This window comes from Homo sapiens, chromosome 12 (assembly GCF_000001405.40).
Source record: "Homo sapiens chromosome 12, GRCh38.p14 Primary Assembly".
NCBI lineage: Eukaryota > Metazoa > Chordata > Mammalia > Primates > Hominidae > Homo > Homo sapiens.
Genome location: NC_000012.12, coordinates 14,143,339 through 14,153,559, shown reverse-complemented (window position 1 = coordinate 14,153,559; position 10,221 = coordinate 14,143,339). Strand labels below are relative to the sequence as shown.

Below are 10,221 nucleotides of genomic sequence, written 5' to 3'. Positions count from 1 at the left end.
TTTTTGTGTTTTTAGTAGAGATGGGATTTCACCATGTTGGCCATGCTGATCTCAAACTCCTGACCTCCAGTGATCCACTAGCCTCAGCTTCCCAAAGTGCTGGGATTACAGGCATGAGCCACCTCTTATGGCTGTTGGCTGGTCAATCAGTTCAGGTTCTCTTGCCCCTGCGGTGGGGGCGTGGGTAGTGATGTAAGGCTCAGAGCAAGAAATAGGCTTTAAAAACTGTTCCCAGTAGGCCACGCTTGGTGGTGCATGCCTGTGATCCCAGCACTTTGGGAGCCTGAGGCAGGTGGATCGCTTGAGCTCAGAAGTTCAAGATCAGCCTGGGCAACATAGCGAGACCGCATCTCTACAAAAAATACAAAAAGTAGTTGGCTGTGATGGCATGCACCTGTAGTCTCAGCTCCTCAGGAGGCTGAGGTGGGAGGACGGCAGCCCACGAAGTCAAGGCTGCAGTGAGCTGAGATTGCGGCACTGCACTCCAGCCTGGGTGACTGAGTGAGACCTTGTCTCAAAAACAACAACAACAACAACAAAACCCCATTCTCAGTAATCTCCCCTAGAGGCTCAAAAAGATCTTAATCCGATCTTACACAAATCTGTTTCATTTATGCATAGAATAATTCAGTCTTAGAACAGGAAGGAATCATGGAGTTTATCACATCCAACTCCATCATTTTACAGCTAAGGCCTCTCTCAGGTCCTTCAAGGTGAAGTAACTTTGCCCACTAATTTACCATCTTAAAACAGATTTTTAAAAAATGCCTGACTTATGTGTCACTCGGACTGGCTGCAAAAGTATACCTTCTTTTTTTTTAAATTTTTTTGGAATCTGGAAGAGGAACACATTACAGATATGACCTATTTCTGATCTCCCTTCTCCATGTGACGGTGGCAGTTTTTGGGTGAAAATATTTTGTCAGCGGCTCTAACATATGGATAGTTTCTAGGCTTTTGGAGATCAGGTTATTATGCTAAATGAATACAGATGAGCATTATGCCTATATAGTGCTCTACACTTTGCAAAGTGTTATAACATCCTTACCATCAGTGAGCAGGTGTCATTATTCCTATTAGTTGGATAAGGACATGGCCAAGATCATCAGTCAACTGGTGGCAGTTTCTGTTGCAGAACACAGTCTCTTGTTTCTAGGTAGGTGATCTGGCTGTGATGTCTGGCACCCTACTGATTACCAGCAGGATGCAATGGAAAGAACATCAGAATTTGGAGCCAGAGAACTCAGGTTCAATTCTCAACTCCATCCCTGATAGGCTCTTACCTTAGGCAAGTCACTTTGCCTTTCTAATTCTCAGTTTTCTCATCTGTAAAGTGGAGACAAAAATAGCATCTATCCAGTTTTTGTGGGACTCAGGAAATGGAATAGAGTGCTTTGTGAATACAGAGAGTTATACAGATGTTAGTGATTGCCATTATGTGGCTGTCGAGGTAGGGGGTCACTCTGTGTATTATAAATAAGACTTTGTATGGTTTAATGGGTTTAGAAGCTTACACAGAGCTTCAAAGAGCTCCTGCAGAGTAAAAGATGATGTGCTCTTCCTCCTTAGGTCTTATCCTAACCCATAACCATTGTTATTTAGAATTCAACAGACATAACAAGCTAAGTCTTCTTGAAATATTCCTCTTTGTAAATATAGCTTTGCTTTTACAGTTCTTTCACCTGCAGAAAGATGCAACATTCGCTCATTTCACCTAGCATTTGAAGGGTCAGTCATGGAAATCTGAAAGTCTTTCTAACACACAAACCCAGTCATGATGCTCCTATTATTAAAAACCTTTTTACTCCCTGTGGCTCACAGGATCAGGTCTAAATGCCAGGGCTGCAAATTGTTTCCCTATCTAAGTGGAATATACATATGCAAATGGATTTATTAATCAGAGGCCTATCATTACAGTACCAGCCCTTTTCTGTGCTTCCAGCCTTTCATCCTAGTCCCCCCATTTCTTTCCTACACACTGTATGTGCCACAGCACCTCTCACGGGAAACAAAGCTCAGATGCCCTGCTGGTTATGGCCGCCTTCTGTTTACATGGGCTGCCTCAGCTGCATGGAGCCCTTGGCCTTCTCTCTGCCACTTCCATATCTCCCCTTTAAGACCCCACTCAAAACTACTTCTTCTGTGAGACCATCTCTGACCTCTTCTTCCTCACAGGGTGGATTCATCATTCCTTCTTTGTGCAGGGGGGAAAAAAAAGCGTTTCCCCCAGGATTCTGTCTTTTGCTCTATTTAATTTGAGATTTGTTTAGCCATTAGTCCACGAGTTTTGAGGGCTGGACAAGAATTGTATTCTCTGCATCTCTGTGCGCCAGTGCCCAGTGTCGGATGCAGAAACAGTAGGTACTCAATACATGTTTGCTACCATATACTGATAAGGGAAACAGGAATCTGTTTGCCAACAATCCTTATAGCCTGGAACTGTGCCCATTTGGGTCTTCCTTCCCCTCTCTCTGAGATTAAAAATACATCATCATCCTCTAGTCATCAACTGGACATAAATTAGACAAAACAGGCCTTACTTTAAAGTTCCACCCTCCAGGCCTCTCTTTTGGCCAGTTGGCCCATTGGCTGGAAAGCCAGGGCCTGTGACACTGGGTCCCTCTGTCTGATAACACTAACAAGCTATGTGACTTTAGCCCATCTCTTGGCTTCAGGTTTTGGACTGTCTGGGAGTTAGAGTAGATATTCTCAGGGATCCCACTCCATTCTGACCATTTCTCTTTTACATAGTTGATGCTGAAAAGCTGGGTGAGTTCAAGCCAAGGCAAATACTTTTGGCTGGAGCAGAAGACCAACGTAGAAACACAGGCTGGAGATGGGGTTGGGGGGGGGTTGGGTAGGACAAGTATCAGCACAAAAGCCCTGGGGCTCCCTTCAAAATTAGAATATTGTGTTGTTATTGTCTAGTCACTTCTCGCAGCACAGAGTAAGTCCTCCCAGCTCAAACACACCTTCTTCAGAATGCTCACCCCTCCCCCATGATGCTTTCTAACCCTGAGTGGGACTTTTTCCTCAAACCTGGTCACAGACTCCTTTAGAATGTCCCCCATTAGATTTCTTGTGCACTCTTTTTCTGCACTTGCTTAGAATTTCAACACACTGTTGCCAGTGAATTGAGAATGGAAAAGTGCAGAAGGGTCAGGTGAACTCAAGCATGTACTTGGATGAGAGCAGAAGAGCCGGCAGAGAGGAGTAGGAAGGACAGAATTGGTAAGAGCTCTGGATTGAAAAGGGGACATGGACAAAGGGGAGGAGTTAGGGACAAGACACATTTAGGAGTTTTACTGCAGACTTATTTGTTTTTAATGCAGTTAAAGTTTTGTTTGTTTGTTTTTGAGAGAGGTTCTCACTGTATTGCCCAGGCTGGAGGGCTGGAGTGCAGTGGCACGATCTGGACTCATTGCAACCTCTGCTTCCCGGGTTCAAGTGATCCTCAAGCCTCAGCCTCCTGAGTAGCTGGAACCACAGGTGTGCACCACCACGTTTGGCTAATTTTTGATAGAGATGGGTTTTACCATGTTGGCCAGGGTTTTTTTTTTTTTTTTTTTTTCAAAGAAAGGAATGTGTTAGAAGAAACTATGAAGTATGAAGATTGTACACCAGCACACGAGTGAAGATGAGAATAACCCAAGACCATGAAGTTAAATATTTCACAAAAAACATTTATATGAACTTTGTCATGTCTTTTGTTAAGTGAAAAGTAGAGAGAGACATTTATTGGATGGACTAGCTATGAATCCAATTTTTAGATAAATCCTAATATTTGTTGCTTTAAAAGGGTCAAGGTCCAACACCCAACCAAAACTGAGAAAGACACCATCAAGGAAAGGCCTAGATTCCGGGCGCGGTGGCTCACGCCTGTGATCCCAGCACTTTGGGAGGCCAAGGTGGGCGGATCACGAGGTCAGGAGTTTGACACCAGCCTGGCCAACATAGTGTTTAGTCTCTACTAAAAATATAAAAAATTAGTTTAGTCTCTACTAAAAATATAAAAAATTAGCTGGGCGTGGTGGCAGGCACCTGTAAGCCCAGCTACTGGGGAGGCTGGGGCAGGATAATCTCTTGAACCTGGGAGGTGGAGGTTGCAGTGAGCCAAGATCGTGCCACTGCACTCCAGCCAGAATGAAAAAGGTCTAAAAAACCCCAATATTTTCTTTTATAAAAGCGAAGAAAATGGGGGGAAACAGATTAAGGAAAAAGAACCAAAAATGGAAAGAGGACACACAAAGTCTTGTACTAAGGTGTCTGTGGACCAGCCGTTATCCAGTGAACCTCAGGGCAGGACTTCCTCCCCAATTTCCCATCTCAACTGTTTTTTTACATAATGAGAACAGGATAACATTGGGTAGTCAGAAAAATGTTGCTCAAGATTCTACTAAAGATAAGTAACAGCAAAGATATATCCAGTCCCTCGGCAAGCTACTGATGTCGCATAGCAACAACTGCCTAGTTTTATTTCTGTCACACGATTGCCATAAGGAAGCTTTGAAATTAATTTTTTTTTAAAATTTAAACAAACAAGGTAGCATACCTCACTGCACCCATCCAAGTCACCTGCCTGCTTCCAAAATTAGAAAGGCAGCCTCTTCAAAGAAGAGATAATTAAGGTAGTAGAAACAGAAACACAAATTTATCAGGTCTCTGCTAATCTCCATCCCGTGCTATCTCATTAAATCCTGGTAATAACCGTGTGAGGTGGGTTTTACTCTTATTTTGCAGATGGGGAAACTGACTTAAAGGCATTGAGTAACTTGGCCACCCAGTTGGTAAAGGGGTAGAGTTAGGATTGAAAGCATTCCCCTCACCTTTTTCCATCTGATTTGTAATCCAGTGCTTTTCCCATCACTCAGCCTACTGCAATGAGGTCAGTGGTACTGCAGCTGGCTGGAGTTCCCCTGCCACTTCTGAAGGTGTCTGGGATTGTGTCTGTTAACAGGCCAGTCTTACTTCCAGAGGAACACCTGGAAGAATTTGGACCCGAGTTTTATTCTGTGGGCTGGTTATTTCATGGTATAGACCTAACTGGGAAATCTAAATTTATAATTAGCCTAATGCAAGACAGTCACAGACAGGCAAGGGGCAGGACCTATGAAAACACAATAGCTCTTCAAGGCACTTGTGTTCTGAACTATTTGAGGGGAGTCCCTGTCACCATTTTTGGTATTGGTGTTTGCAGGCAGGTATTTAGGAGTTATTCAAGAAGTAAGTTCCCTATGTGTTGTGACAATTACTTGAATATTTTTTTTTTGAGATGGAGTCTCACTCTGTTGCCCAGGCTGGAATGCAGTGGTGCGATCTCGGCTCACTGCAACCTCCGCCCTCCGAGTTCAAGCGATTCTCCTGCCTCAGCCTCCCGAGTAGCTGGGACTACAGGCGTCTGCCACTGCGCCCGGCTAATTTTTTGTGTTTTTAGTAGAGATGGGGTTTTACCATGTTGGCCAGGCTTGTCTTGAACTCCTGACCTGGTGATCCACCCGCCTCGGCCTCCCAAAGTGCTGGGATTACAGGGGTGAGCCACCGCGCCCGGCCTCACATCTTATTATTTTTTTCCTAGCAGTCACTTCAGCGTCTATGAGTAGGAATAATAGAACCAAACACAAGGAGTCCAAGGTGCAGACATTTTTGGTCTCCCCTCTGCTCATGACTCGGGGGTGTGTTCTGGAAAGATCTCACTTCTGCTTGCTTACCACCCATATGGCTCTCACACAGAGGAAGAACTCAAGTCAACCAACATTCCCTGGGCCTCTATTGTTTGCTGGGCATTGAGCTGAGCAGCAGGGATACAAAGCAGTGTTACCCACTGAGCCTGACCTCAAGACATTCTTCAGCCTCATCAAGGAGATAAAAATCAAACAGAGTTACTACTGTATGATAGACCAGTTGCAAGCCTAAAGAAGTACCGCAGGAGCATAAAAATAAGTGTCATCCAGTCTAGTTCATTGGAAAAGGTTTTATGAAAAGGGTCCACTTGATCATATTAATGCAGGCATTGGGATCACTGGGGCATTCTAGGTGGAAGGACCGCATGGGGTCATGAAACAGGGAACCCTAAGCAGCTCAGTCAGCCTGGAGTATAAATTAGGAGTCAGTGATGGTCTGGTATGTGTGTATGTTAGGTGGGCGATGGTATGAGGGTCAGGGAGAGGCGTCCATTTTATGGTAATGGGGAACCTTCGACAGATGTTTGAGCAGAGAAATAACTTGCTAAGATTTGTGCTTTAAGAAGTCATACGTGGTGGCATTTAGGAAGTAGATGCAGCTGAGCAAGATTAAATTCAGAAAGATCAGAAAAACACTGGGTAAATAAATTTGAAGAGGTTTCTTTGCCAGAGGTCTCTTAAAATATTTTAATGTGCAAATGGGTCCTGTGAAATGCCTTTGTTGTGGATATTCTCCTTTTGTCCATCTGGGTTTGATCCCCACCTTTCTCTACCCTGACTCCAGGAGGCTGACCTTCTGGAAATGTCCCAGCTTGACTCTCTTGCCTGCTCCCTTCTTGTTGGGTTCAGCCAATGGGGGAAACCAGGAGGAGATCAGAGGTAGGAAGAAAGACAGCACAGAAAATTTTCTTCCTATCTGTTTTTCTTTCCTTTTTAAAAAATTTTTGTCAACAGGGCCTCACTCTGTCACTCAGGGTGGAGTGGAGTGCAATGACACAATCATAGCTCACTGTAGCCTCTGCTTCCTGGGCTCAAGCCATTCTCCCATCTAAGCCTCCAGAGTAGCTGGGACTGCAGGCATGCACCACTAAACCTGGATAATTTTAAAAATTTTGTGTAGAAACAAAGTTTCACTATATTGCCCAGGCTGGTCTCGAACTTTTGCGCTCAAGGGATTCTCTCACCTCAGCCTCCCAAAGTGCTGGGATTACAGGTGTGATCCACCATGACTGGCCTAGAACATTTCTAACCCTCTTCAGTTGGGCCTCAGTTTGCCAGTGGCTCTACCTGAGGTCATAATTCATGTTAGGAAGTCCCTTTTTTCATTTGTTCATTATTTTTAGTTTTTTATTTGACAAATGAAAGTTATCTATATTAATTGTGTACAATATGTTATTTTGAAATATGTATACATTATGGAGTGGCTAAATTGAGCTAATTAACACGTGCTACCTCACACACTTATCATTTTTGGTAATGAAAATGAGAGGTCCCATTTCTATAGCTACAGCTCACTCTAGATTCTATAGCCATAGTTCTCTCCTTCCTCTGCCCCTTCAGACCTCACAGTGGCAATGACTTCCTGCTATTGCTAATCTAGGGGTGCATCACTATCCTTTGCTGGTTCCTGTACCAGCCCACACCTTTGAAAATAATTTATTTATTCAAATGTCTTCAAGTGTCACCTCTGCATGCGTAGCCAGCTTCCTGCTGGATGCTGACTGATACAATCATGGAACAGTGTCTGATATGGTTTGTGTCACCACTCAAATCTCATCTTAAACTGTAATAATCCCCATGTGTCCAGGGTGGAGCCAGGTGGAAATAACAGAATCATGGGGGCAGTTTCTGCCATACTGTTCTCGTGGTAGTGAATAAATCTCATGAGATTTGATGGTTTCATAAATGGGAGTTCCCCTGCACAAGTTTTCTCTTTGCCTGTCACCATGTAAGACATCCCTTTGCTCCGCGTTCATCTTCCTCCCTTATTGTGAGGCCTCCCCGTCCTGTGGAACTGTGAGTCCATTAAACCTCTTTCCCTTATAAATTACCCAGTCTCATGTATGTCTTTATTAGCATCATGAGAACAGACTAACACAGTAAATTGGTGCCAGGAGTGGGGCACTACTATAAAGATACCTGAAAATGTGGAAGCGACTTTGGAACTGGGTAACAGGCAGAGGTTGGAATGGTTTAGAGGGAAAGTTTGAAAAAACTTCCTAGCAATTGTTGAATGGTTTTGACCAAAATGCTGATAGTGATATGGACAATAAAGTCCAGGCTGAGGTGGTCTCAGATGGAGACGAGGCATGTTTTAGCAAGACTTGCTATGTTTTAGCAAGAGACTGATGGCATTTTGCCCCTGCCCCAGAGATCTGTGGAACTTTGAACTTGAGAGAGCTGATTTAGGGCATCTGGCAGAAGAGATTTCTAAGCAGCAGAGCCTTCAAGAGGTGACCTGGGTGCTGTTAAAAGCATTCAGCTTTCTATATTCACAAAGAGAAGCAGAGCATAAACGTTCAGAAAATGTGTAGCCTGATGATGTGGTAGAAAAGAAAAACCCATTTTCTGAGGAGAAATTTAAGATAGCTGCAGAAATTTGCATAAGTAATGAGGAGCCAAATGTTAATCACCAAGACCATGGGGAAAATGTCTCCAAGGCATGTCAGAGGTCGTCATGGCAGCCCCTCTCTTCACAGGCCTGGAGTCTTAGGAGGGAAAAGTGGTTTCCTGGGCCAGGCCCAGGGCCTTGCTGCTTTGTGTAGTCTTGGACTTGGTGCCCTGCATCCCAGTCATGGCTAAAAGGGGCCAAAGAACAGCTTGGCCTGTGGCTTCAGCAGGTGCAAGCCCCAAGCTTTGGCAGCTTCCACATGGTGTTGAGCCTACAAATGCACAGAAGTCAAGAATTGAGGTTTGGGAACCTTTGCCTAGATTTCAGAGGATGTATGGAAATGCCTGTATCTCCAGACAGATGTTTGCTGCAGCGGTGGAGCCCTCATGGAAAAACTCTGCTAAGGCAGTGTGGAAGGGAAATGTTGGGTGGGAGACCCCACACAGAGTCCCCACTGGGGCACTGCCAAGTGGAGCTGTGAGAAGAAGGCCACCATCCTCCAGACCCCAGAATGGTAGATCCACTGACGGCTTGTACTGTGTGCCTGGAAAAGCTGCAGACACACAATGCCAGCCTGTGAAAGCAGCTGAAAACAGGGCTGTACCCTGTAAAGCCACAGGAGTGGAGCTGCCCAAGACTGTGGAAACCCACCTCTTACATCAGCATTACCTGGATGTGAGACATGAAATCAAAGGAGATCATTTTGGAGCTTTAGGATTTGACTGCCCCACTGGATTTCAGACTTGCCTGGGGTCTGTAGCCCTTTGTTTTGACCAATTTCTCCCATTTGGAATGGGTGTACTTACCCAATGCCTGTACCCCCACTGTATTTAGGAAGTAACTAACTTGCTTTTGATTTTACAGGCCCATAGGTGGAAGGAACTTGCCTTGTCTCAGATGAGACTTTGGATTGTGGACTTTTGAGTTAATGCTGAAATGTGTTAAGACTATAAGGGACTGTTGGGAAGGCATGATTGGTTTTGAAATGTGAGCACATGAGATTTAGGAGGGGCCCAGGGGTGGAATGATATGGTTTGGCTGTGTCCCCACCCAAATCTCACCATGAATTGTAATAATCCCCATGTGTCAAGGGCAGGGCCAGGTGGAGATAATTGAACCATGGGAGTGGTTTCTCCATACTGTTCTCGTGGTAGTGAATAAATCTCATGAGATCTGATGGTTTTATAAATGGGAATTCCCCTGCACAAGCTCTCTCTTTGCCTGCTGCCATGTATGACATCCCTTTGCTCTTCCTTCGTCTTTGTCCATGATTGTGAGGCCTCCCCAGCCATGTGGAACTGGGAGTTCATTAAACCTCTTTCCTTTATAAATTACACAGTCTCAGGTATGTCTTTATTAGCAGTGTGAGAAGGGACTAATACATTATCTTTGAGAAATACCCATCCATTTAAAGGAACTGTTCGATCTGGGGTAGAGAGAATGAGAGTTTTCACCAAGACTCACATAGTAAATAAGAAGGTGAGGACATAGACTAGAGAGATACTCAGGAAGCAGAATTTACAATATAGTCACTGATTGTAGGGTCAGGAGGAAGAAGAGGTAGAGAGAATTGCTCCTTGGATTTGGGCCTAAGTGCGTAGATGGTGATGTCATTCACCATATCACAGAATGTAAAAGGAAGGACAGGTACTAAGGAGAAAACCAACACTCTGGAGCACAGTAAACTCAAGGTGCCTGTGGGGCCTCTAGGGGTAAAAAGGAGCCCTTGTCTACCTCCTGACTTGAAAAACATGCATAGATTCAAATATTTTTTTCATTCCTGCTTGGAATTTTCCCTTTTTACTTTTGCAGTCCATTTCTCACAATCCTCTGTGAAAATCAGCATATGCTGAAAGTAGGTAGTTTCTGTTATCTTTACTGTGACTTCATGACACCAGAGGGCCAGAAAGCTAAAAATATTGAGAACCT

The 10,221-nt window shown here is 44.3% G+C and overlaps 1 annotated feature.

Annotated features, from left to right (window-relative positions):
• Positions 1,513-2,101: an enhancer, noted in NCBI's record as "OCT4-NANOG hESC enhancer chr12:14304393-14304981 (GRCh37/hg19 assembly coordinates)". NCBI's record gives its function as "activates a minimal SCP1, AML or CMV promoter by ChIP-STARR-seq in primed H9 embryonic stem cells {active_cell/tissue: H9 hESC(primed)}" and the evidence as "EXISTENCE:reporter gene assay evidence [ECO:0000049][PMID:30033119]".